Raw genomic sequence first — 27,676 nt, forward strand, 5'->3', positions numbered from 1 at the left:
TCAGCCTCCCAAGTAGCTGAGACTACAGGCGCCCACAACCACGCCTGGCTAATTTCTTGTATTTTTAGTAGAGACGGGGTTTCACCATGTTAGCCAGGATGGTCTCAATCTCCTGACCTCGTGATCCGCCTGCCTCAGCCTCCCAAAGTGCTGGGATTACAGGCGTGAGCCACCGCTCCTGGCAACACTCTTATATTGAGTATTAGGTTTCATTATACACATTTGAGAGGACACCAGCATTCAGACCAGTGCTTGCTTTGAGAAGAGACATGTGGCTTAAGCCTGGCCTATCGGAGTACTTTCCTGGGATTTTCTGTTGGAGTTGGAGGAGAAAAAGCACCTGTCATTATTCTCCAGTCATACAATTATAAAGAAATGATCATAAAGCTTCCAGAAGCTACTGGTCTCTAACATGCAAGAAACTCAGAAAAAAATGACGCCAACTGTATGCAGATGCAGAGAGAAGTTGGAACGAACTTTCTTTGAGTCAAGCCTCTAATTCCTGTCAGTATCAGTTTGGATTCTTTGTTGCAAGCAACAGAAACTAATTCTGGCTAAGTCCAAGAGGAATTTATTGAAAGGATATCAGGTGGCTATTGTAATTGACAGAAAGGCTGGAGATTTCAGAGCAGAGCACCACCAAGACCAAACCACAGAAGGAAGTTGGTCATAGCCAGGCACGGTGGCTCACGCCTGTAATTCCAGCACTTTGGAAGGCCAAGGCAGGTGGATCACCTGAGGTCAGGAGTTTGAGACCATTCTGGCCAACATGGTGAAACCCCGTCTCTACTAAAAAAAAAAAAGAAAAAAGAAAAAATTAGCCACGCATGGTGGCACATGCCTGTAATCCCAGCTACTTGGGAGGCTGAGGCAGGAGGATGGCTTGAACCCAGGAGGTAGAGGTTGCAGTGAGCTGAGGTCATGCCATTGTATTCCAGCCTGAGCGACAAGAGTGGAACTCAGTCTCAAGGCCAGGTGCAGTGGCTCACACCTGTAATCCCAGCACTTTGGGAGGCCGAGGCAGGTGGATCACGATGTCAGGAGTTTGAGATCAGCCTGGCCAACATGGTGAAACCCCGTCTCTACTAAAAATACAAAAATTAGCCGGGTGTGTTGGCACATGCCTGTAATCCCAGCTACTCAGGAGGCTGAGGTAGGAGAATAGCTTGAACCCGGGAGGTGGAGGTTGCAGTGAGCCGAGATTCTCAAGCACTGTACTCCAGCCTGGGCGATAGAGCAAGACTCCGTCTGAAAAAAAAAAAGAGTGAAACTCAGTCTCAAAAAAAAAAATGATGAAATGATGGAAGCTGGCGAGGAGGATCCCACTGCCAAACACTAGAGGATGTTGTGACCGGCTCCACCCTCACCTTCCTCTGATGGATGCCCTTGCTGCCCCGCAGATCCTAGAGAGATGGGACCTCGCCACCAAAGCTGCTGCTCTGGGAAAGGATTCTCCAACTGGCCCCAGGCTGAGATCAGGAAGTCTGCGTCTGATTGACTGAGCCCGCTCATGTGACCCATGCCCTGCCCATGCCCTCGCTAAGGCATAGCTGGAATGAAGGTCTGGTCTTTTCAGCCTCCATGGTGGGAGGTGGGCTCTAGCACCCACCAACACTCAGAAAATGAAGAATTTCCCAAGCTTTAGAAGGAGGTTAACAGACCAGGCAGCCAAAAAAGACCAAATTTCAGAATTAAGTCCCACCTTTCCCTCTCTCAAATAACCAGCACTTCCTCTTGGTACTGTCAGCTGCTGATCTTATTTCTGAGACAATAAAAGCAATCAGAAGAGACTTTTTTTTTCCCCCGACAAGGTCTGGCCAGGACCTATTGCCCAGGATAGAGTGCAGTGGCACGATCTCGGTTCACTGCAACCTCCTTCTCCCTGGCTCAAGGGATCCACCTACCTCAGCCTCCCAAAGTGCTGGGATTACAGGCGTGAGCCTACGCGCCTAACCAACAATCAGAAGAGACTTCCACAGGCTGCCATCATAGCTACTAGTCTGTTCGCACAGGTGTCCACCTACTCTGCCTTTTCCCTCAAAACAATGGATGAGTGCCCTGTGCCCCTATCTCAGTCCAGCCTCTCCCCTGGTCCCCTGGGTCCCTGCCCTGTGCCCCTATCTCAGTCCAGCCTCTCCCCTGGTCCCCTGGGTCCCAGCCCTGCTGCTCAGAGCCTGCATTCCTCCTGCAGTTGTCCTTCCTTTCCTCTATCATTAATTCCCCCTCTCTACTAGAACATTCTCTTGAGCATAAACAGGCAGCTAAACCCCCCATCTTAAAAACAAACAACATTCCCTTGACCTCACATCCTCCAGCTGTTAGCCCATGTATCTATGAAGCAAGAGTTCACTAAGGAAACAGAAGCGCTGCGAGTGATGTAGGTATTATGGGGATTCGACCTTACACAATCAGGGGAGGGGCTGGGGAAGTGAAGACCCAGAGATGGAAGCTGCAGAATCGGAGACAATCACTCATCAAGCTCCTGAAAGCACCCACCTGGGTGGGCACGTCTGCGCTTGCAGGGAAATCTGAGGAGCCACATGCGTGCAACTGCAGAAGTGGATCCATATGGAGAGGTCTAAGGGTAGATGTGGCTTCTTTTCTTTTTTTTGAGATGGAGTCTCACTCTGTTGCCCAGGCTGGAGTGCAGAGTCATGGATTCTCATTCTGTTGCCCAGGCTGGAGTGCAGAGTCTCACTCTGTTGCTCAGGCTAGAGTGCAGTGGCGTGATCTTGGCTCACTGCAACCTCCACCTCCTGGGCTCATGCAATTCTCCTGCCTCAGCCTCCTAGGTAGCTGGGATTACAATTGCCCACCACCACACCTGGATAATTTTTGTTTTTTTTTGTTTTTGTTTTTGTTTTTGTTTTTGTTTTTGAGACAGAGTTTCACTCTTGTTGCCCGGGCTAGAATACAACGGCACGATCTCAGATCACTGCAACCTCCGCCTCCCGGGTTCAAGCGATTCTCCTACCTCAGCCTCCTGAGTAGCTGGGATTATAGGCATGCACCACCACGCTGGCTAATTTTTTATTTTTTTTAATAGAGACGGGGTTTCTCCATGTTGGTCAGTTTGGTCTCGAACTCCCAACCTCAGATGATCCACCCGCCTCGGCCTCCCAAAGTGCTGGGATTACAGGCATGAGCCACCGAGCCTGGCCTAATTTTTGTATTTTTTTAGTAGAGACGGGGTGTCGCCATGTTGGCCAGGCTGGTCTCAAACTCCTGACTTCAAGTGATCCACCCGCCCTGGACTCCCAAAGTGCTGGGATTACAGGCATGAGCCACCACACCAGGCCAAAAGGTATGGCTTCTGTGTAGCTACTGCCTCTGTGTGTTGCAGCCAGGTGTGTTTTGATGGGCCCATGTCCTCCAGTGGTGTACAGAGCCAACAGTCTGGAAGCAGAACTGAACGTGGGTGGAGGAGAGTCTAAAGTAAGCTGGGGCCTCCAACTACTTCTGCTTCTGTGTCTCACCCTGAAGTCCTTCAGATATTAAGAGAGCTGCTTCACTTCCACCTCCCAGAGCTTGGGTATCTTCCTCTTTTGTCCAACTCTGACCCAGAATCTAACAAGGCTTCTGGGAAACAGAGTCCACAGATGAACCAAAAGAACAAAATATGTTCCTCTTTTTTCCAACTGTAACCCAGAATCTAACAAGGATTCTGGGAAACAGTCCCCAGATGAACCAAAATAACAACATGATGATCAGCCACATCATGCTTCTCTGTTCCTTTTCAGAACGACAGCAAATGAAAGGGCGTTTTGTACTGTATCTCCACTTCTTCACCTCCCATATTCTGCTGGACCCAATGTGCAATAATTTGGATGTTTTTCCAAATCTCATGTTAAAATTTGATCCCTGATATGGTTTGGCTCTGTTCCCACCCAAATCTCGTCTTGAATTGTAGCTCCCACAATTCTCACATGTCATGGGAGGGACCCAGTGGGAGGTAATTGAATCACGGGAGCAAGTCTTTCCCGTGCTGTTCTCGTAATAGTGAGTAAGTCTCATGACAGACTTACTTACTTACTTATGAGGAGGAGTTCCCCTGCACAAGTTCTCTCTCTTGTCTGCCACCATGTAAGACATGCCTTTCACCTTCCACCATGTCTGTGAGGCCTCCTCAGCCACATGGAACTGAGTCCATTAAACCCCTTTTTCTTCCCAGTCTCAGGTATGTCTTTATCAGCAGTGTGAAAATGGACTAATACAATGTTGGAGGTGGGGCCTAATGGGAGGTCTTTGGGTCTTAGGGACAGGTCACTCATGGACATCTTGGTGCCTTCCTCACAGTGGTGAGTGAGCTCTCACTCTTATTAGTTCCTGTGAGAACTGGTTGTTATTAGGTTGGTGCAAAAGTAATTGCAGGTTTTGCCATTAAAAAAAAAAAAAAAAAAAAAAATAGCAAAAAACGCAATTACTTTTGCACCAACCTATGAAAAGAGCCAGGCACCTTTCCCTCCTACCCTCTCTCTTGCTTCCTCTCTCACCCTGTGATCTCTGCACACACCAGCTCCTCTTCACCTTCCACCATGAGTGGGAGATGCAGCCTGGGACTTTCCCCAGATGTCCAGTCTTCTAGCCTGCAGAATTGTGAGCCAAATAAACCTGTTTTCTTTATAAATTACCCAGCCTCAGGTGTGCCTTTATGGCAACACTAAATAGACTAAGATCCAATCTGATCAGCATTTCATCATCACCACATCATCAGAGCTGGTCTCACTGAGATCACAAATGCCAGACCTTCATACTGCCAAATTCAGTTATGTGCTCTCAGTCCTTTTCTGATTTGATGCTTCAACAGCACGTAATACAACTGACCACTTCCTTCTTAAAACATTTTCTTCCGGTGGCATCCGGGACACCATTTCCCTTTGATTCCCCTCTTGCCTCACTGCTGCTGCTTCTCAGTTGGCTTTGCTGGTTCCTTTGATTCCTAACCTCTAAATGTTGGAATGCCCCAGGGCCCTGTTCTCTGAATTCTTCTCTTCTCTGTCTATGGTCACCATGCAGATGATCTTACCTACTTCCATGAGCTTAAATACCCTTATCTCAAAGGTATATATCCAGCCCCAAACTTTTCTCCTGACCTACACACTTGAAAATCCAATGCCTATTTGTTATTCCAACAAATAACTAATCATTAATAGACTTTTAAAATGCACTATGTCCATGGCTGGGTGCAGTGGCTCACACCTGTAATCCCAGCATTTTGGGAGGCCAAGGTGGGCAGATCACATGAGGCTAGGAGTTTGAGACCAGCCTGGTCAACATGGTGAAACCCCATCTCTACTAAAAATACAAAAATTAGCCAGGCGAGGTGGTGGGCGCCTGTAATCCTAGCTACCTGGGAGGCTGAGGCAAGAGAATTACCTGAATCCGGGAGGCAGACGTTGCAGTGAGCTGAGATCGTGCTGCTACACTCCAGCCTGGGTGACAGAGCAAGATTGCATTTAAAAAATAAAATAAAACAAAATGCACTGTGTTAAAAAGAACTGTCTGGGCACAGTGGCTCACACCTGTAATCCAAGTACTTTGGGAGGCTGAGGTGGGAGGATCACTTGAGCCCAGGAGTTTGAGACCAGCCTGGGCAAGATAGTGGGACCCTATCTCTACAAAAAATTAAAACAAATGTTTTAATATATTATGTCTGAAAACTAACTCATAGTTTCATATCCCCCACCAAACCTGCTCTTATCACATTTTCCCCACTTTTGTAAATGACAAGTTCACTCTGTCATGTGCTCAGGGCAAAAATCTTGGGCTCATCCCTAACTTTCCTTTTTTTCTCTTAAACCCTGCATCCAAGCCATTGGCAAACCCTGTCAGTTTCACCTTGTAACATAATTAGAATTTGTTCATTCAACAAAAACTTATTGAGGCTGGGTGCAATGGTTCATGCCTGTAATCCCAGAAGTGTGCGAGGCCAAGGCAGACAGAGGCTTGAGTCCAGGAGTTTGAGAACAGCCTGGCAACATGGCGAAACCCGTCTCTACAAAAAATGCAAAAATAAGCCAGGCATGGTGGCACATGCCTGTAGTCCCAGCTACTCCGGAGGCTGAGGTGGGAGAATCACCTGAGCTCTTGGAGGTCAAGGCTGCTGTGAGCCATGATTACACTGCACTCCAGCCTGGAAGACAGAGTGGGCCCCTGCCTCAAAAAAAAAAAAAAAAAAAAAAAAGTATTGCTGGGGTGGACAGATGAGCAGAAAGTACAGTCTGTGTTTGAATGGATGACAGAGGGTACCATGTGTGAAGGTACAGATACAAAAAAAAAAAAATGAGAATTTTTTTAGTGCATTTAAGTATGGTTGGAATAAAAGCATATTGAGGGAGTGGTGGGAAATCAAGTTAGGGAAGTAGGCTTCGTCCATAAAAATGATAGGCGTTTTAAGGGCCTATCTGACTCTTACCCCAAAACCTTTAGGACACCACTGGATGATTTCGAGAAAGGGAATGACATGATCAGATTTATATTTCAGAAAAATTCTCTGGGGGCTTGTGGAGGGGAACCAGAATTAGGCAAGAAGGCCAAGTGGAGACTATTTTAGTTAATTCAGTTAAGAAGCGATGAAGGTCTGAGCTAAGGCAATGGCCAAGGAATGGAATTGCCAGATGTCTTCCATAAAAATACCAGGCAGTGGACCAAGCCTGGGGGGAGATGCTGGCAGGCAGGGGTGCTTTTGAAAAATATCTTCTTAAACAATATCTTCTGTATTAATAATATCCACTCTTTTTGTACAACTTTTATACTTTTTTTTTTTGAGACAGAGTCTTGCTCTGTCACCCAGGCTGGAGTGCAGTGGTGCAATTTCAACTCACTGCAACCTCTGCCTCCCATATTCAAGCAATTCTCTTGCCTCAGCCTCCTGAGTAGCTGGGACTACAGGTGCGCACCATCACGCCTGGCTAATTTTTGTATTTTTTGCAGAGATGGGTTTCTCCATGTTGGCCAGGCTTGTCTCAAACTCCTGACCTCAAATGATCCACCCGCCTTGGCCTCCCAAAGTGCTGAGATTACAGGCATGAGCCACCGCACCCGGCCTATACCTCATTTTTTTTAAAGAAACAGATTTCTTTTTTCCTGACAACAACTTGCAAGGAATAATAAAGAAAAACAAAGGCAAAGTTTTAAAAAAAAAATTTCATTGTATAACATCGGAAGCTCCTATACCAGACCACTCCAGTCAATACCAGATAGTCACCAACCCCACCAACTTCATGGTCTTAAAAGTGGCTTAGGGTAAAAACTACAGTTTGCTCTTAAGACTGAGCAAAGAAAATGAGAAGGTGTCACACCTGGGTGCTGAGTCTTGAGGGAACTGGAGCACTAAAGTTTGCCATCAGCCCCATATGTTTCTCCCTCCCCAAAAATGGTAGGAGTTTCTCAGCCAGGCATGGAGGCTCATGCCTGTAATCCCAGCACTTTGGGAGGCTGAGGCAGGTGGATCACCTGAGGTCAGGAGTTCAAGACCAGCCTGGCCAACATGGTGAAACCCCATCTCTACTAAAATACAAAAATTAGCTGGGCATGGTGGTGGGGCACCTGTAATCCCAGCTACTCGGGAGGCTCAGGCAGGAGAATCGCTTGAATCTGGGAGGCGGAGGTTGCAGTGAGCCAAGATCGCGCCACTGCACTCCAGCCTGGGCAACAGAGTGAGACCGCCTCAAAAAAAAAAAAAAAAAAGGAATTTCTCCATTAGAAAAGCAGCTGCCTCTGCTTCCCTCATTCCTCCAGCACCCAACCTTGTGGCTCTGGGAGAGTGTTCCAGCGTCAATTAGATTCAGACTCAGGCCCAAGGGGAGGCACAAGGGGAGGCCCCAGAAGGACAGGCTTGGTCGCGTGATCCATGACTGGAAGAGAAACCAGAGACTGTGTGGATGGCACCGACTGTTGCAGAGCCCTCCCATTCCTATTTCTCTCCTCTGGGAAGAAGTGGCCCATCCCCACTCGCTTCTGGAAATATCCACAGTGGAGGCCATGTTTCATCTTGTTTCTTGATAAAGAGATTTTGGGAACCATGTACGGTGTGCTGTGCCTCTGAGTTATAAAGTATGGCTCCTCACTGGCAACTCAGAAATGAAACTGTGATAATGAGTTCTGTACCTCTAGCTCCTAAATTTCTTTCTTTTTTTTTTTTTTTTTTTTTTTTTGAGACAGGGTCTTGCTCTGTCACCCAGGCTGGAGTGCAGTGTCTTCATCACAGCTTACTGCAGCCTTGACCTCCCAGGCTCAAATAATCCTCCCACCTCAGCCTTCCCAGTAGCTTAGACTATAGGCAAATGCCACCATGCCTGGCTAATTTTTCTATTTATTGTAGAGACTTGGTCTCAGTATGTTGCCCAGGCTGGTCTCAAATTCCTGGCCTCAAGAAATCCTCCCATCTCAGTCTCCCAAAGCACTAGGATTACAGGCATAAACCACTGCACCTGGCCTTAAATTACTTAAAAGGTGTATATGGACCAAGGAATCTTGAGATCACTGGTTGTTCCCTCAGGAGCAAACAATGGACACACAGAGATCCTGTTCCTAGGACATGGAAGCAAGAGTCCCAGATAAGCCTGCCAGGGTTTGAATATTGTTTGTCCTCACCAAAACTCATGTCAAAATTTGATCCCCAATATGGCAGCACTGGGAAGGGGCACCGGGTGGGAGGTGTTTGGGTCACGGGGATGGATCCCTCATGAATGGCTTGGTGCTGTTCTTGCAGGAGTAAGTGAATTCTGACTCTCATGAGACTGGATTAGTTCTTGCAGGAATGGGTGAGTTCCCGACAGAGTGGGATGTTATAAAGCCAGGACGCCCCTCAGGTTTTCCCCTTTTCACACATATCTGCTTCTTCTTTGACCCTCTCTGCCATGTTGTGATCCAGCACAAAAGTTCTTTGCCAGTAGCCAGGGCCATCCCCTTAAACTTCTCAGCCTGTAGAAACATGAGCTACATTAGCCTCTTTTTTTTTATAAATTGCTCAGCCTCAGATATGCCTTTATAGCAAAATGAAACAGACTGAGATGAAGCCTTCAAAGAGAGTCACAGATCATTGCAAGGGGATCTTCCTGAGCTTGTCATCCCAGTGTGTCTTGAGTTCTGAAGGGGCACCTTTAAAAACATTGCCTGGCCAAGTGCAATGGCTCATGCTTGTAATCCCAGTGCTTTGGGAGGCTGAGGTGGGAGGATTGCTTGAGCCCAGGAATTTGAGACCAGCCTGGGCAACATAGTCAGACCCCATCTCTACAAAAATTACAAAAAAATTAGCCAGGAGTTGTGGTGTGTGCCTGTAGTCCCAGCTATTTGAGAGGCTGAGGTGGGAGGATCACTTGAGACTGGGAGGCTGAGGCTGCAATGTGCTGTAATTGCACCACTGCACTCCAGCCTGGGCAACAGAGCAAGACCCTGTCAAAAAAAAAAAAAAAAGAGGAGAAGAAAAAAGCACTGTCAGAGAAGGACTGCTAGAAAGAGCAGCCTCAGGCAGAATCATGTAGTGTAGTAAGTTTGTGTTCATTCTCTGTTGCATGTGACAAATTACCACAAACTCAGCAGCTTAGAATAACATATTTATTTTCTCACCGTTCCCATGTGTCTGGAGTTCAGGTACGGGTTAGCTGGGTCTTCTGCTCAGGGTCCCCAGGCTGCAATCAAGATGTCGGCTAGGGCTATGGTCTCACCGGAGGCTCAGTGTCCTCCTAGCTCCTGTGGTTGTTGGCAGCATCCTTTTTTTTTTTTTTTTTTGAGACAGTCACCCAGGCTAGAGTGCAGTGGCATGATCTCAGCTCACTGCAACCTCCACCTCCCAAGTTCATGCGATTCTCCTACCTCAGCCTCCCGAGTAGCTGGGATTACAGGCACCTGCTACCACACCCAGCTAGTTTTGTTTGTTTGTTTGTTTGTTTTGTGTTTTTAGTAGACATGGAGTTTAATCATGTTGCCTAGGCTGGTCTCAAACTCCTGGCCTCAAGTATCAGCCCACCTTGGCCTCCCAAAGTTCTGGGATTACAGGCGTGGGTCATTGCACCTGGCCAGAATTCATTTTCTTACAGTTGTAGAATTCTCAGTGGCTAGCTTCCTCTAGGCCAGTAGGAGTATATCTCTGACTATTTCTGAGCTCTAGACCCTCTTTTAAATAAAGAACTCACCTTATTAAGTCAGGCCCACCCAGCATAATCTCCCACTTTATTTGCTTAAAATCAACTGATTAGGGACTGTAATTACATCTTCAAAATCCCTTCCTCGGCCAGGCTTGGTGGCTCACGCCAGTAATCCCAGCACTTTGGGAGGCCAAGGCAGGTGGATCACGAGGTCGGGAGATCGAGACCATCCTGGCTAACATGGTGAAACCCCGTCTCTACTAAAAATCCAAAAAAATTTGCTGGGCGTGGTGGTGGGCGCCTGTAGTCCCAGCTACTCAGGAGGCTGAGGCAGGAGAATGGCATGAACCCAGGAGGTGGAGCTTGCAGTGAGCCGAGATCACACCACCACATTCCAGCCTGGGCAGCAGAGCAAGACTCCATCTCAAAAAAAAAATAAATCCCTTCCTCTCTGCCATGTATCATAGTCCAAGAGTAGCATCCATCACCTTTGCCATATTCTACTGGTTGGAAGCAAGTTATGGGCCCCACCCACATTCATCAGAAGATTATGCAAAGATATGGGGTCATTAGAGTTCACTGGGGGTCATCTCAGAATTGTGCTTACCACAGAGTCCAAGATCTTCTGGAGAAAACAGCCGTTCCCTGGTGGGGTGGCAGTGATTGGAGTGGATGCTAAACTTATGGGAGCAGAACTCCCAGTTAAAGGGCTCACAAGTGTCTCTCACTGTAGTGGGTGAGGTTTGTTCACCTGGAACCTCAGAATGTAACTTTATTTGAAAGAAAGGTCTTTGAAGATGTAATTAAGGTGAGGATCTTGAGATGAGATCATGCTGGACTAGGATGGGCCCCAAATCCAATGAGAGGTGTCTTTATAAGAGACAGAAATGGCTGGGCACCATGGCTCACACCTATAATCCCAGTACTTTGAGAGACTGAGGCAAGAGGATTGCTTGGGGTTAGGAGTTCAAATCCAGCCTGGGCAACATAGTGAGACCCTCTGTCTACAAAAATAAAAAGATTAGCCAGGTGTGATGGCATGGGCCTGTAGTGCCAGCTACTCAGGAGGCTGAAGTGGGAGGATTGCTTGAGCCCAGGAGTTTGCAGCTGCAGTAAGCTATGATTGTATCACTCCACTCCAGCCTGAGTGACAAAGTGAGATCCCATCTCAAAAACAAAAACAAACTTTGGGAGGCCAAGGAGGGCAGATCACCTGAGGTCAGGAGTTTGAGACAACCTGGGCAACATGGTGAAAGTCCATCTCTAGTAAAATACAGAAATTAGCCAGGCACGGTGGCATGCGCCTGTAATCCCAGCTACTCAGGAGGCTGAGACATGAGAGTCGCTTGAACCTGAGAGGTGGAGGTTGCGGTGAGCCAAGATTGCGCCACTGCACTCCAGTCTGGGCAACAGAGCAAGACTCTGTCACCAAAAAAAAAAAAAAAAAAAAAAAACAGAGAGAGAGAGACACACAAAGGAGAAGACACACAGCGACACAGGAAAGCCACACAAATTGAAGCTAGAGGTGGCGACTGGAGTGACATGTCTATAAACCCAGGAATGCCAAGAACTGCCAGAGCCACCAGAAGCTAGAAGCCACCAGGGGCATGGAGCGGATTTTCCCCTGAGAACCTCCAGAAGGAACCAGCTCTGCCAAAACCTTCATTTCAGACTTCTGGCCTCCAGAACTGTGAGGGAATACATTTCTGTTGTTTTAATCCACCAAGGTTGTAGTAATTTGTTTTAGCAGTCTCAGGAAGCTAATATACTTATTGATAATTATCCCCATAAGAATCAATGTCAAGGAGATGGACTTGGTGGTCTCAGGTGCAACAAAAACTCAGACTCTAGAGAGATGTTGGTTCTCATAGGTCAGAGGTACCCTGCAAGGTACCAGAGCAAGGCCGCTTTATGGCTAGATTAACCTAAGCTACACTCATTGCAGAACCCAGGAAGATGTCCATGCCTCTCCCCAGAGGTATAACCTATATACCCTAAAAAAGGTATAACCTTCTTTCCCACTCCTTGGCTGATATATTTGTTCAGGTCAGCTACCGTTAAAAAAGAAAAGAAAAATGGCTAAAGTAACTGTGGCTTAAACAAGATATAAGCTTATTTCAGTATTTGTGTGTGTACATGTGTGTTTTTAGAGGCAAGGTCTTGCTCTGTTGCCCAGGCTAAAGTGCAGTAGTGCAATCTCACTGCAGCCTCAACCTCCTGGGCTCAAGCCATCCTCCCACTTCAGCCTCCTGAGTAACTAAGACTACAGGCACATGCCACCAATACCCAGATACATTTTTAAAAATTTTTTGTAGACATGGGGTCTCCCTGTGCTGCCCAGGTTGGTCTCAAACTCCTGGACTCAAACAATCCTCCTGCCTCAGCCTCCCAAAGCCCTGGGATTACAAATGTGAGTCACTGTGCCCAGCCCTGTGTGGCTTGGTTTGTGGAGCTGGATATAAGGCCTTGAAAATGGGCATGAGATCTATGAGCTACTGTGCCTGGCCAGAAGTTTATTTCTCTTTCATTTAAGGGTCTTAAACATAAGCAGTCCAGGGCCAAAATGGTGGCTCCACACTGCCAGAGACCCAGGCTCCTTCCATCTGGTTCCTCTGACATCCACAACACATGATTACCGTCTTGTGACCACAGGCGGCTACTTCAGTTCTCACCATCATACCCGCATTCCAGCCAGTGCTGCACACTTCTGCTGGTAGCACTTAGTCACGTGGCCATGCCTATCCGCAAGTTAGGCTGCCAAGTGTTTTTTTGTTTTGTTTTGTTTTTTTTGAGACGGAGTCTTGCTCCGTCACCCAGATGGAAGTGCAGTGGCACAATCTCGGCTCACTGCAACCTCCACTTCCCAGGTACGAGCGATTCTCCTGCCTCAGCCTCCCGAGTAGCTGGGACTACGGGTGTGTGCCACCACATACTGCAAATGCTGCCAAGTGTTTTTAGCTAGGAGGCTGTGTTTCCAGCTAAAACTTAAATTTTCTACTACTCAAGGAAGATGGGAAGAATGGAGAGTGGACAGCAACTTCTACTCCAAGGGACAGCAAACGCAAGGTCTGATTTGATAAACGACCCCTTCAATCTGGGCCCAGGGAGATGGGAGGAAAGCCCCAGCAATGGAAATCCAGGAATGGGAGCACCTCTGCCACCCTCCTGGCTGGCGACAGGATGAAACAGAGCCTTAGAAATGTGGGTTTGGGCCAGATGCAGTGGCTCAAGCCTATAATCCCAGCACTTTGGGAGGCCAAGGAAGGAGGATCACCTGAGGTCAGGAGCTCAAGACCAGCCTGGCCAACATGGTGAAACCCCATCTCTACTAAAAATACAAAAATTAGCTGGGCATTGTAGCATGCACCTGTAGTCCCAGCTACTCGGGAGGCTGAGGCAGGAGAATTGCTTGAACTCAGGAGGCAGAGGTTGCAGTGAGCCAAAATCACACCACTGCACTCCAGCCTGGGCGACAGAGCAAGGCTCCATCTCAAAAAAAAAAAAAGAAAAAAAAAAGAAAAAGAAAAAGAAATGGGGGTTTGAAGCAGCAGGAATAAGATAAGCTTGGAAAGGTCTGGAGCAATTCTGTCTTCCCCTTCCCCATCATACCCTCTGTTAGGGGTTGAATTATGTCCCCTTGAAAGTTTGTTGAAGTCTTAACACCCAGAACTTGTGAATGTGACCTTATTTGGAAATGGGGTCTTTGCACATGTAACCAGGTTCAAATGAGGTCATGCTGGATTAGGTTGAGCCCTGATCCAATGGCCGATGTCCTTATAAGAGGAGAGAAATGTGGGCACAGACAGACAGGGGAAGGCCTTGTGAAGATGGGGGAGAAGTTAGAGTGATACAGCTCCAGTCAAACAATCCCAAGGATTGTCAGCAAACACCGGGATAAGAGAAGAGGCAAGGAAGGATCTTCCCCTCCCGCCTCACAGGGAGCACAGCCCTGCTGCCACCTTGATTTTGGACTGTTAGTCTCCAGCACTGTGAGAGAATCAGTTCCTCCTGTGTTAAGCCACCCAGTTTGTAGTCATTTGTTATGGCAGCCCTAGCAAAGTATACGCCACCTTCTCTCCCCTTTCTGGTTCCTTAGGGTCCCATTCTCATGAACCCCCTACTATAATAGACCATAATGTCCTGAGATCCAGAAGTACCTTCTGTTCTAAATCTTCTCATTCTTTTTTTTTTTTTTTTTTTTTTTTTGAGAGTGCAGTGGCACAATCTCGGCTCACTGCAACCTCTGCCTCCCTGGGTTCAAGCGATTCTCCTGCCTCAGCCTCCCGAGCAGCTGTGATTACAGGCGCCTGCCACCACGCCCGGCTAACTTTTGTATTTTTAGTAGAGATGGGATTTCACCATGTTGGCCAGGCTGGTCTTGAACTCCTGACCTCAGGTGATCCACCCGCCTCGGCCTCCCAAAGTGCTGGGATTACAGGCGTGAGCCACTGCGCCTGGCCTACCCATTCTTAAAATTGTTCTCGTTGTAAATGTTGCATTGGTAATGATGGGGTGATCCAGACCAGGAGCAAAATATCGGGCCAGACCAGGGTCTGAACATGGAAACAGAGCCAGAGGTGGAGATGTATAAAGACCAGGACAGAAAACCAAAGCAGTCAGTCTGAGGTGAGTACAAACTTGCAGAAGAAAGACCAGGCAGGGCATGTCCACAAAGACCAAAGACAAGTGGGTCCAAGACCCAGGCTGTCGACAGAAACAGGAATATACAGGGAGCAAAACCAGGGCCAGGCACAGTGGATCATGCTCATAATCCCAGCACTTTGGGAGGCTGAGGCAGGAGGAACTCTTGAGCCCAGGAGCTCAAGACCAGCCTGGGCAACATAGAAATACCCAGTCTCCACAAAAAATAAAATTTAATTAGCTGGGCATAGTGGTGCAAGCCTGTAGTCCTGGCCACTTGGGAGGCTGAGATAAGAGGATCACTTGAGCAGGAGGCTGAGGCTGCAATAAGCCATGATTGTGCCCCTGAACTCTAGCCTGGGCAACAGAGCAAGACCCTATAAGACAGTGATCCCCAACCTTTTTGGCACAAGGGACCGGTTTGGTGGAAGGCAATCTTTCCACGGACAGGGGAGAAGGAGATGGTTTTGGGATAAAGCTGCCACCTCAGATTATCAGACATTAGATTCTCAGAAAGAGCATGCAACCTAGATCCCTCACATGTGCAGTTCACTTTAGGATTCGCGCTCCAGTGAGAATCTAACGCAGCCGCAGATCTGACAGGAGGCGGAGCTCACGTGTTAATGCTCGCTTGCCCTCCACTCACCTCCTGCGCTGCAGCCCAGTTCCTAACAAGCCACAGACCAGTAGCAGTCTGCGGCCCAGGGGTTGGGGATCCCTGCTATAATAGACCTGGGACTCATCCAAGCTCCAGATTCTGATTTCACCGCTTTATACCGGAGAAGCATTTTCAGTTTCCAAACCACTTTCACACACAGTGTCTCACCGGGTCTTCAAAAGCAGCCTGCATGAGCTGAGTAGAGTGATCATGTAATCTCCAGTTGACTCACAGGCAAAGAAACAGTCAGAAAGGCTAAGTGACTTGTTCAGTGTCACACAACTGCTTCTAAGCAGTGCATATAGAGAAGAGAAAATGGACTTTGGAATCTGGTAGATGGGGTGAGAGTCGATACAAGGAAGTTATTTGATTTCTATGAGACTGTCTTTTTCCTTGTCCCTTTTTTTTTTTTTTTTTTTTTTGAGATGGAGTCTCACTCTGTTGCCCAGGCTGGAGTGCAGTGGTGCCATCTAGGCTCACTGCAACCTCTGCCTCCCGGGTTCAAGCATTCTCCCTGCCTCAGCCTCCCAAGTAGCTGGGATTACAGGCACCCACCACCATGCCCGGCTAATTTTTGTATTTTTAGTAGAGACGGGGTTTTGCCATGTTGGCCAGGCTGGTCTCGAACTCCTGACCTCAGGTAATCCGCCCACCTCGGCCTCAAATTAAACTGAATTGCATGTTATGCTTCAGCTGCTTCTCACTGGCCAAAGGCAGACTATACCCAGGGCTTGTTGTGTGGGGGAGAGCATTAGCAGTGCTTGCCATGGCAGGCTCCCATTTCCCCGTTCTGGACAGACACCCAAACACAGACAGTGTGTAGACATACCTTCGCCAAGAGGCCTTCAAAAGGCCTGGATCTAGGCAGTTTTAAGATGAAAACAGTAAGAAGCGCTATTCCCATGCCTTCCCCTGTGCTCCTAGGACCATGTAGGGTGCAATGGAAACACACAGAGGAGAGGAGCTGCTCCTACTCTCCTAGGGTTGAGGATGCAGTCAGCATGGGACTAAGGCCCAGGGACTGCCCGTGAGGACCACAGCCTGCACCTACCTCCATTCCCCAGAAGAAAGTCTGGGAAAGTCAGCCCCCCACATCCTCCTGTACCCAAATTCTGCCTGTTCCCCCTCAGTTCCACTTGATGCAGAGGGTAGGTCAGCTCTGAAAAAGCCCGCTCTTCATTCCCTCTCCTCCAACTCAGCCCTCTCTTCCATGTCATTTCTGTCCCATGCCCAGCTCCAGCTAACAGACTCTGGGGAGGCCAGCGGCTCTAGGGACTCTGTTGTTCTCACGGGCCTGGAAGTCATCATATCTCTGGGTTCAGGGGACAGCTGTTTGTCTTCTACAGTTCAAGTGCTCAGGCCTCATGCTAGCAAAAGCAGCCTGCTCCCATCCAAGGATGTAAATCTCCCTCCACTTGATGCCTGGCCACAAGTTGCTGGAGAAATGACCAGACTGTCAGATTCTATCTGACAATCTGCAGATGGAATCCATAGCCCCAGCACAAGTCTAAACACTGCAAAGGAGTGTGACAGCTGGCGCACGGGCAAGTCCAACAAGACTCAAGCAGTATGAGCTTCTGGACAATGTTCAAGGACAAGTCTACACACCAGGGGCCCCACCTCCAACATCATCATTCTCCCCTGCCTAGCACTGACTGGCCAATTTTATCCAGCGATGTTGGGAGAATATCCAGAGATGGGGAGAGGAGGGCCTCTTATTTGTCAAGCAAGACTTCCTCCTCCACTAACAGCCACAAAGTTGAGTCTTTGCCAAGAAATCTTGCACACCTCAGACACCAGAGATCTCACCCTGCCCTGGTTGAAAAGGAGAAAGTCATCTTTGGTATGAAAACATCCTGAGAAATAAAACCTGGGCTCCTGGAGAAAAGAGAGCAGCACAGACCAGGTCCAATTCACAGGGAACACCCATATGTGGAAATCTATCGAGCTCCTCCTTGGGGCAGATGGAATTTTATAACTCTAGGGCCCCTGAACCAAGACAACACATTGCGCACTACATCACAAACACGCAAAACATCTGTGATTTACCGGGCATTCCATAAATCATCCTGGACAATAGTCTTGGCTCATAGAGTTTAAATAGAAACTCACAAAATGATCTAATGATTTCCTTAGAAATTTTCTTTACATAGGAAACCTGGCTGATAAGATTCATAAAATGGAAATAAGAGAAAACTGCATCAACAGGCTCAAATTTGTAACTCCAGTTTTACTTTAAGAGGATAATACAGATTTTTGTAGCTGGGGAAGGTGAGTGGGAAGGTAGAGGTTGTGGAAAGGCTGGGAAACATCAGAATATATTTATGACACAAGACATTTGACCAACCCAAGCAATGCTTTGTGCCTGTGCCTCCAGACACACACACACACACACACACGCACACACACACACACACACCATGTAAGGCACCACTGGATTATAGCATGGAGGGGACAAATGCCCCCTGCCCTAAACCTGGCCACAGCCAGCCCATCCCCCTGTGGGCCCTCTGTCCAAGTCCTGTGGGGAGCGTGGCTTTGCTACTCAATGGCAACTGGATTTCAAGAGTTTCAGGAAGGGTGGGGGAGCAAGATATCAAAGGCTCAAGCTCACTCCCCTTCGTCCAGACAGACTTTTCATTTTTTGTTTGATGAAGATTAGGAAGAAAAGAGTGAGGATTAGGCCTAATTTACTGCCTCTGTCAAAAGCCAGCGCAGAGTAGAAGGGAAGGGAGTAAGTGGATTATGAAAAGAAAACAAACGGAGGGAAAGGGGGCCGAGGATGAACTGCATTCAGTGATATTTATTTATCTGATTGCAAAAGGAAAAGAAGGGATCTGTTCTAATGGTTCACCTTCTTATGAACCCTGGAGCTCCCAAAACCCTGGCGAAGTCCTTCTGACACTGCTGTGAGGTAGATCGGAGCCATTCCATGGCTAAAGTGAGAGAGGCCACTGCTTGAGAGCAGTAATAAGGGAACCAGAGATAAAACCCCAAATCTTGGTCTTTTCTACCCTGCTGCTCTCAGCCTGGGCCACAGAGCCTGGAGAACACTAAGGTCTCATCAGGGTTTGGGTGGCAGAAGGAATGGAACCAGGGGAGCTCTCTTTGCCCTAAGCACTCACTGACTGCACAGGCAAGCCGGGTGATGGGTGCCCCTACCAAAGCCAGCCTGCTGCTCCACGGCACCTGGACACTACCACTGAGGGAGGAGTGAAGTTCAAGGCTGGGGTTTAGAAAACATCTCTCAGACAGAGAGCAAGAGGATGGTGAAAACCCACTTGGTAAGGATCCCTCCTTGGGTCACATGGCCCAGTCGTCAGGTTCTGGAGGGTAGAGTGTCACAGCCGGGGAATCCCATGGGACTCATTCTGAACAGAGGCCAGAGGTTTTCCACAGGTTCTGATCAACAGAGTTGTTGCTTCTTGTCCTTCAGGCCTAAGAAACTCCCCAAGAAGCCCTGGGAAAAAAAGTGGAGATAATAGACCCTGGGGTGAAAGGAGCAACAGGTGCACTGAGGGGAATGACAGAGATCAGAGACCCTGGAACGCATATTTAGTTACACAAAAACGCCAGGGCACCACCCAGCCACACACGCCCCACCCCATCCCTACTCCAACCCAGCCCAGGGAGCGGGAGGGCACACATCTGCACTCACAGGCTCCTCACTCACAACTGTACTTCATACCGGAAGTGGATTCTCACCTCCACAGCTGTCAAACCTTTGAGAAAACCCAGAACTGAGGCCGAGGGCTTGGGGGGCGGGTGGGGGGGCACTAGCCCTGCCTTCAAGTCCGAGCCAGGTCTAGTGATGGCAAGAAATCGGGGGAGGGGGGCAAAGAACTGAGCTGGAAAACCAAAACTAGAGCCGACCCGGCGCCCTGGCTCCGGCCTGTAATCCTAATGCTTTGGAAGGCTGAGGCAGAAGGATCACTTGAGGCCAGAAGTTCAAGACAAGCCTGGGCAACATAGCAAGACCCCATCTCTACAAGAAATTTTAAAAATAGCTGGGATTGGTGGGGCTCGCCTGTAGTCCCAGATACTCAGGAGGCTGAGGTGGGAGGATCGCTTGAGCCCAGGAGCCAGGAGTTCAAGACTGCAGTGAGCTGAGATCGCGCCACTGCATTCCCGCGTGGGCGACAGAGACGAAACCCTGTCTCTATTTAAAAAAAAAAAAAATCCCTAAAGCCGACCAGGCGAGGCGAGAGTCCTCGGGACACCGCAGCGCTTTCCGGTGGCGCACCTTGGGTCCTTGGGTGAGGAACGACGGCCCGCTCGCCCTCCTTTGCTTCTACCCTAGTGACTGGATCCGGAAAGAAAAGGACCCTGGGTCCCATTTTGGTTCGCTACTCCTCGTTCCCTTTTCTCTCCAAGCAAAGCCATCCCACCTTCTCTTAATAAACTCCACACTCAAAAAGTTGACCCACGGACACATCGCATGCTTCCCGACCCTGAGCCGCCGGTCCCTCTGCCCCGGTTACCTACCCGTCGAGCCGTTGGCAAAGCCTGGGCTGCGCTGGGCTGCTCCGGGCCGCAGGAACGCCCGAGGGGAAGAGGGCCGGGCGGGCGGCGGCGCAGGGCTCCGGAGGCAGGCGACGGCCGCAGCGGCACAGAAGACGGCGGAAGGCGCTGCGAAAGTCCGGGCTGCGGCAGTAGATGAGCGGGTTGAAGGCAGAATTGGCATAACCTAGCCAGTTCAGGGCAAGGAAAGCCGGGCCCGGGACTAGAGAGGGGCCCCCCAGGGCGCGCAGCACGTTGGCCAGAAAGAAGGGCAACCAGCAGAGAGTGAAGGTGCCCATGATGAGACCCAAGGTGCACAGGGCCCGGTGTTCCCGGAGAGGCAGGAGGCGCGCGGGCCGCCGGCCGCAGGCGGGCACCCCTTCGGGCGGAGCGCACGTCCCCACCGGGGCCGGGGCCAGAGAGCGCGACGGCGCCGGCGGAGACTCCTCGGGCGGAAAGCGGCCCAGCTCCCCGCGCAGCAAGCGCAGCTGGCGCGTAGCCACCACGAAAACCCGCGCGTAGACGAAGAGCATCACGAGAAGAGGAAGGTAGAAGGAGACGGAGGAGGACAGCAGCACGTAGGGCATGTTGGAGGCGAAGGCACAGCAGCGCGGGTTGGAGTGGCAGCGCTGCGCCTCGGCGTCGGCCCCTACGCGCCACCACTGGCTCATGATGGGCGCAAACGACACCGCGGCCGACACGACCCACACCAGGACCACAGCTGTCCGGGCGCAGCGCTTGGTGACCAGTGCGCCGTAACGCAGCGGGTTGGTCACAGCCAGGTAGCGGTCCACGGCCAGGGCGCACAGGGTTTCGATGCTGGCGGTCACACACAGCACGTCCACCGAGGTCCACAGCTCGCAGCCAGTGGCGCCCAACGGCCAGTGGCCAGTCAGCGCCAAGGTGGCCGCCGGCGGCACCACCAGGAGTCCCATCACCAGGTCGGCTGCGGCCAGCGAAGTCACGAACACGTTGGTCATGGTCTGGAGTCTCGGAGTCCAGGCGATGGCCACGATGACCAGCAGGTTGCCTCCCACGGTGGCCAGCACCGCCAGCGCCAGCAGGGCCCCGGCTAGGGCCGCCTCCCACGGAACCCCTGGCAGCCCACTGGTGTTGGCGGTATTGGGCGCCAGGGTGGGGAGGTCCGGCCATGGGGCAAGAGAGCTGTTCTCGTGAGGCCACGGAGCCATCCCCGGGTCGCGCGTGGGGCGGTAGGGAAAGAAGGAAGGAGGGGGTCTCCCAAATCACCTGGCTCAGGGGAGGGGACAGCAAGGCATGAGAGCGACTTCCCCAGCCTGGGCCATCTTCTCTAGCTGTCCCAGCCAGAGCGCTCAGCCTCCCCCCACCCCAACTCCCTCGGTGCCACCGCTCTTGGGGGAGGAGTAGCGACGCTTAAAGGGGCAGCTGCCTATAGTCTGGAGGGGCCTCTGGAGCCGAATTGGAGAGTGGGGAGGATGGCCAATGGGATGCTCCACGTTTCCTTTAGCTAAATCTGGAGGAAGGGACACCGTGGTTCCTCTGCCACCATCTGTCCACCCCTGCCGTGGCCAGGCTCCTGGACTCAGCATAGCACTCCCTGGGCACTGGCTTCCTGGAGCCCTGCACCTCCTTTCCCAGAAGTTCCCACAGCAAGGCAGGGGAAGGAGAGAGGAGAGCGCTCCCATCCCCACCCTTTATGTATCAGAGGCAAAGGTAACCCGCTGGAGTCAAGCAAAGGATTCACAGGAGCCCCGCATCCACTTGGGTGGCCTCCCCTAAGGTATTTTAAATTAAGTAATAGGGCTCAGCCAGTATCTCCTCTCCCAAGACCTCAGCTTGGTGAGATCTGTCCCCTTTCCCTTCTGTTTCAGTTACCTTCTCTTTCCTTCTAGCTTTTTGTTTTTTTTAATATTTTCAGGTACTGAGGAAATTTACCATATTTCAAGTCTCTCTCTCTCTCTATTTTTCCCAGGCTGGCTTTGAACTCCCGGGCTCAAGCCACCCTCCTGTCCCAGCCTCCTGAGTAGTTGGAATTGCAGGCGTGAACCACTAGGAGGCTCAGGAGTCTTTTTCTTTTTCTTTTCTTTTTTTTTTTTTTTTTGAGACGGCGTCTCGCTCTGTCACCCAGGCTGGAGGCTGGAGTGCAATGATGTGATGTCTGCTCACTGCAATCTCCACCTCCCGGGTTCAAGCGCTTCTCCTGCCTCAGCCTCCCAAGTAGCTGGGACTGCAGGCACCCGCCAGCATGCCCAACTAATTTTTATATTTTTAGTAGAGACGGGGTTTCACCATGTTGGCCAGGATGGTCTCGATCTCCTGACCTCGTGATCCGCCCGCCTCGGCCTCCCAAAGTGCTGGGATTACAGGCGTGAGCCATCGCGCCCGGCCAGGAGTCTTTTTCATTGCTAGCTCTGGATTTGCATTTGGATTTGGCACTATGTAGTCTGGGATGCTGAAGAATTTCAATTTCTCCATCTTCCCCACTCTGCACTGCCCCTTCCATGCACCTTTCCACCTAGAGATTTTCTAGATAGCCCCTTCTCTTAAAATCTTTCTGCTATAAAGACATATTAAAAATGGATGAATCAACAGGTGGGCGCGGTGGCTCACGCCTGTAATCCCAGCACTTTGGGAGGTCGAGGTGGGCAGATCACCTGAGGTCAGGAGTTCAAGACCAGCCTGAACAACAAGGAGAAACCCTGTCTCTACTAAAAATACAAAAAAAAAAAAAAAAAATTAGCCAGGTGTGGTGGCGCATGCCTGTAATCCCAGCTACTCAAGAGGCTGAGGCAGGAGAATCTCTTGAACCTGGGAGGCAGAGGTTGCAGTGAGCCGAGATCACACCATGGCACTCCAGCCTTGGCAACAAGAGCGAAACTCCATATCAGAAAAAAAAAAAAAAAAAAAAAAAAGAAAGGATGAATCAAGAGGCTGAGAGGAGAGGATCGCTTGAGCCCAGGAGTTCAAGGTTACAGTGATCTGTGATCATGCTACTACTGCACTCCAGCTTGGAAGACGGCAAGAAGCAAGACCCTATTTTAAAAAAAAAAATGGGTAAATGGGTGACTGGGTATGAGGCAGGTCCACCATCCCCCCAAACTATACACAACTCTTCCATTGCCATCTCCCCAATGGTAAGTGTTCGCTCCACTTCCTTTAGGTTTTTTGTTTGTTTATTTGTTTTTTGAGATGAAATTTTGCTCTTGTTGCCCAGGCTGGAGTGCAGTGGCACAATCTCTGCTCACTGCAACCTCCACTTCCCAGGTTCAAGCAATTCTTCTGCCTCAGCCTCCCAAGCCTCCCAGCCACCCAAGTAGCTGGGATGAGCATGTGCCACCAAGCCCAGCAAATTTTTGTATTTTTAGTAGAGACGGGGTTTCACCATGTTGGCCAGGCTGGTCTCAAACTCCTGACCTCAGATGATCCACCCGCCTCGGCCTCCCAGAATGCTGGGATTACAGGTGTGAGTCACCGTGTCCGGACTTCCTTAAGGATTTCATTCATTAACTTTTAAAAACTAGAAGGCGTTGAGTTGAGGAATTCATGCGTTCATTTTTGAGCGTGTGTGGTGGCAGGCCTGGTGTTTCAAAGCCTCTGAAGTCTCTTAGGCGGTTCCACCAGAGGCTTCCCTCTTCCTCTTCCCTTCTCCCTGCCCTCACTCAAGACTTGCAAGGCTTCCTTTTTCCAGCCCCTGCTCTCTCAATCTCTAAACCAGTTCCTCTCAGATTGCGTACGGGGAGGGGGGCGCTGGAAAATAAAGCCCCAGGGTTCAAGTGGAGAGGCAGGAAGATGTGACACCTTATCAGGGACTATCAGGACCTGATTCTTGAGCTATCATGCTTCCTCCTCTGAAACAATGGGACAAAGGGGGAAAAATTATCATGGAAAATGCCTCCAGGGCTATGCCCTGGCAGGTCTCTGAACAGCTCTATATTTCGAGAGAACACTTTATAGTCACTGGTATGAACAATCCCTCTGGGAGGCTGAGCTGGGGGCTGGGAGTTAGGAAGGTTGCAGGGGAATTCAGAACCTAAAATTATCCCCAAGGAAAAAGAACCAGCCTCGTCTCCCAGGGACCCAGCTGCTCACCCATGAGCAGGGTTTGTCTTGGGCTCCCAAGCAAGTGACTTCTATGCCCATGAAGAACCCCAAGCAGGCCTTTGGATCCATGGAAATCCATGGGGGTGAAAGTGAAGAGGCAGCCTCTGGCCCCTTCCACCTCTTACTGCCCCCACTCAAGTCATGACAGAGTGGTGCAGGCCCCACTGGGCACAGAGTCTTGGCTGTGGCTTCCTGTTGACCAGCAAGGCAGTCACTCCCAAGTAGGGTTTTGCAGCACCCCAGAGTGTTGTTGCCAGTTATCTCAAAGGGATATCATAAGATTCCCAAAAAGTAATCTCCAAAATCAATGCATGCCATTCAGCAATTTTTTTCCAGGACATCAGCATTGGAGGGGGAAGGGAAAGGGGTGCCGGAAAGTGAAGCAACCTCAATGATGTCAATGCCTTAGGGGTGACCTTGTAATTTGGAAGAAGTGTGTAAAAATGTTTAACATTTTCAAAAAAGACAGGATTTCTCAAACCACCTGAGTGTGCCTGAGTTTGGGGAATGATTAGGCCAATAACCAAACGACACTGTAAGAAGAGAAATTTCTGACTCCGGTTAGGGATGGTTTTATGAGCAAATCCATCAATGTTGAGACACTTGGCTTCTTCCTCCTCTGCCAACTCATCCCTGCTCTCATTCCTCAGTCTGGTTTTCCCCCGCCCAAGCAGATGGCAGGGGGAAGGGCTCCCTCTTTTGCCACCTTAGTCTATAGACTATTGGGTCTCTTTTGTGATTTTGTGTTTTATAACTTAATATTTTGAATAGATTATACGTGCACATTATTCAACCATCAAAATATAACAAATGCATATAATAGAGACTTGCCTTCATCCCAGTTTTCATCTCCCTAGCAGGTAACTACCATTAGTCTCTGGTTTATCCCTCGGCTCATATTTTATATAGATACAAGTCAATACAAATATATATATTCTTTTATCCTTTCTTTTCTATACAAATAGCAGTCATATATACCCACTGTTCTGCACCTTGCTTATTTTAATTTGACTATGTATCTGTGATCCTTCCAGATAGATATACAAAAGTGTCTCATTTTCTTTTTCTTTCTTTCTTTCTTTTTTTTTTTTGAGACAGAGTCTTTGTCACCCAGGCTGGAGTGCAGTGGTGCGATCTCGATTCACTGCAACCTCCACTTCCCAGGTTCAAGCGATTCTCCTGCCTCAGCCTCCCAAGTAGCTGGGACTACAGGCGCGTGCCACCACACCCGGCTAATTTTCGTAGTTTTAGTAGAGACGGGGTTTTGCAATGTTGGCCAGGCTGGTCTCAAACTCCTGACCTCTGATGATCCACCCACCTGGGCCTCCCAAAGTGCTAGGATTACAGGTATGAGCCACCGTGCGCAGCCAAAAGCATCTCATTTTCAGTATCCCATTGTATGGTTATATGATTGTCTATGAAACCAGTCTGCTACTGATAGACATCGAGCTTACTTCTTATCTTTACTAACAGATGATGTTGCAATGAATAACTTAAACACATGTCATTTCACCTGTATGTGAGTATATTCTACAAATAGATTTTGCTATGTTATAAGGTCTATGCATTTGCAAATTTGAAAGATACTGCCAAATGGTCTTCCCTGGGGATGTACCCAATTATACTCTCACCTTCATTTTTGATGGTCAGCAGAGGGGTGGAGACAGCTGGCCTACTGTTCTGGGAAGTCGTCCTAATGACTGGCCCGAGGGGAATTAGTACTGCCTGGGCCGGAGAGGTCATCCAACTCGGGATAGAAGTGTACATTGCCCAGAGAGAGCACTGCGCTGGCCCTCAGCCCCCAGATGACCTTTGTTCTGTGCCCTTGGAAGCAGGCAGCGTCTGTGGGCCTCTGAATGCACTGAGTTCAGGCCCTCAGGCTGCTGTTTACATGTTGGTGCTCGGGGGTTATGTGCCAGGGAGAATAGCTCTGTGATTTAGAATATGTGTCTGGCAGAGCCAGAAGTGGCAGCAGCCGCCTGATGAGCAGAAGTTCTAACAGCAGGGAAGAGTACTCTCTCCTGTGAACATCATGATTGGGTGCATGTATATGTGTGTCTGTATATGTTCATGTGAGGTGGACTAAAGAAGCCAAAAAGAGTTCAGGTGATCGCAGCCTTATACCCTGTCTAAGACTACATGCGTAACAGGCAGTTCTATTCTAACATTCATAATCCACCCTTCTGGCTTTAAAGTTCTTGGAATGGAGCAAAAACTAGGTGGAAGTTTTTGCTACCCCTTTACCCTGTCTCTCCTCTCCATTGCCCACAGCAACCATCCATTCATTTTTATGAAATCATGCGTGTATATGTGGCCTCTGAGCAGCTGGTTTGGTGTTTGCTGTTTCTTCTTTCGTCACAAATAGTCTAGGGGCATAGGGTGGAGGTGGCAGAGCATAAGCGCTAAAAACAGTCTTAACGGTCAAATCCAGCACCAACACTTTACAGAATTGAAAACCTGAGGCCCAGGCTGGGTGCGGTGGCTCACGCCTGTAATCCCAGCACTTTGGGAGGCCGAGGCAGGAAGATCACTTGAAGTCAGGAGTTCGAGACCAGCTTGGCCAACATGGTGAAACCCTGTCTCTACAAAACTACAAATATTAGCCAGGCGTGGTGGTGGGCGCCTATAATCCCAGCTACTCAGGATGTGGAGGCTTGAGAATCGCTTGAATCCAGGAGGCGGAGGATGCAGTGAGCCTAGATCAGGCCACTGCACTCCAGCCTAGGTGGCAGAGCGAGACTCTGACTCAAAAAATAAATAAATAAATAAAATAAAAAATAAAGAAAAGAAAACCTGAGGCCCAGAGAGGAAATGGAGGCTTGTCCATTATAACACAGTAAAGGTTTGTTTCTTTTTTTTTTTTTTTCATCTTGTGGAAAGTGTGCAGTAAAGGTTCATTTCTAACAGGTACACAGGCATCCAAGGAGTTGGTCCCTTTTCCAAAACAACTTCCTTCACTCCCAGCCAGGCTGTGGCTGGTGCCACCTGCCAGTCTGCCTTCTCCAGGCCCCCACCATGGCAATGGCCCACCATCTAACCAGAAGGCAGAGAGATAAAAACTATCAGAACTGAAAAGAAGCCCCTAAGCTAAGACTTTTCTTGTATTCTGTAATGTGGCACAGCCAACTCTGCACACACCTGATTTGTTTCCCAAGGTCAGATCCAGAGGACTTGAAGGGGAGACAGAAGGGATCTCCTTTATGCGGAAACCAAAGGCATTCTGGTGCCTAAGGACTGGCCTGGAATGAAAGCCTTATGCCTGGGGAGACAGGGGTGGACAGGGAGTGTGTTCTAGCAGTGCCTTCTCTTTTAGCTCCTGGTCATAAATGGAAGAAGGGACCAAGAAATGCTTCTTTCTCTCCTGAGGTAGGAAGAGAAATCCTTCTTCCAGTTTCTGAATAATCATTGAACTTTTGCAAGTGGCACGAAGGAAGGAAGGAAGAAAGGAAGGAAGGAAGGAAGGAAGGAAGGAAGGAAGGAAGGAAGGAAGGAAGGAAGGAAGGAAGGAAGGTCATTGAGATCCCTGACTATTGGAGAAGCTGCTCCCCAGAGGCTGGGAGAGGTCACGAGTCCCACCTACAACCCAGGCCCAAATGCTTAGGCTTCCTTCCAGGAGGTAAGAGAGGGATCAAGCCAGAGGGGGAAAGAGAAAGCAGTGACGCAGGATTTTTTTTTTTTTTTCTTTGAGACAGAGTTTCACTCTCGTTGC

The 27,676-nt window shown here is 49.4% G+C and overlaps 1 protein-coding gene across 1 annotated transcript, besides 1 other annotated feature; it reads right to left on the reverse strand.

The window, feature by feature from the left end:
• On the reverse strand, window positions 17,598-21,207 carry ADRB3 (adrenoceptor beta 3). Its single transcript, NM_000025.3, has 2 exons — window positions 19,873-21,207; window positions 17,598-18,847 (listed from the first exon to the last, which is right to left on the reverse strand). Exons 1-2 carry the CDS (start codon window positions 21,075-21,077, stop codon window positions 18,826-18,828), a joined length of 1,227 nt encoding a protein of 408 aa, NP_000016.1. The 5' UTR covers window positions 21,078-21,207; the 3' UTR covers window positions 17,598-18,825.
• Window positions 20,206-20,940: an enhancer, noted in NCBI's record as "H3K27ac-H3K4me1 hESC enhancer chr8:37823116-37823850 (GRCh37/hg19 assembly coordinates)". NCBI's record gives its function as "activates a minimal SCP1, AML or CMV promoter by ChIP-STARR-seq in naive and primed H9 embryonic stem cells {active_cell/tissue: H9 hESC(naive and primed)}" and the evidence as "EXISTENCE:reporter gene assay evidence [ECO:0000049][PMID:30033119]".

Source organism: Homo sapiens, chromosome 8 (assembly GCF_000001405.40).
Source record: "Homo sapiens chromosome 8, GRCh38.p14 Primary Assembly".
NCBI classification, from domain to species: Eukaryota; Metazoa; Chordata; class Mammalia; order Primates; family Hominidae; genus Homo; species Homo sapiens.

Bases quoted from the DNA above. Each gene is read 5' to 3' on its own strand.
- ADRB3 (NM_000025.3), bottom strand. From the start codon at position 21,077: ATGGCTCCGTGGCCTCACGAGAACAGCTCTCTTGCCCCATGGCCGGAC. The intron at 18,848-19,872 runs GTAGGTAACCGG...TTTTTTTCCCAG, and splicing joins CTTTGCCAACGGCTCGACGG to GGCTTCTTGGGGAGTTTCTT.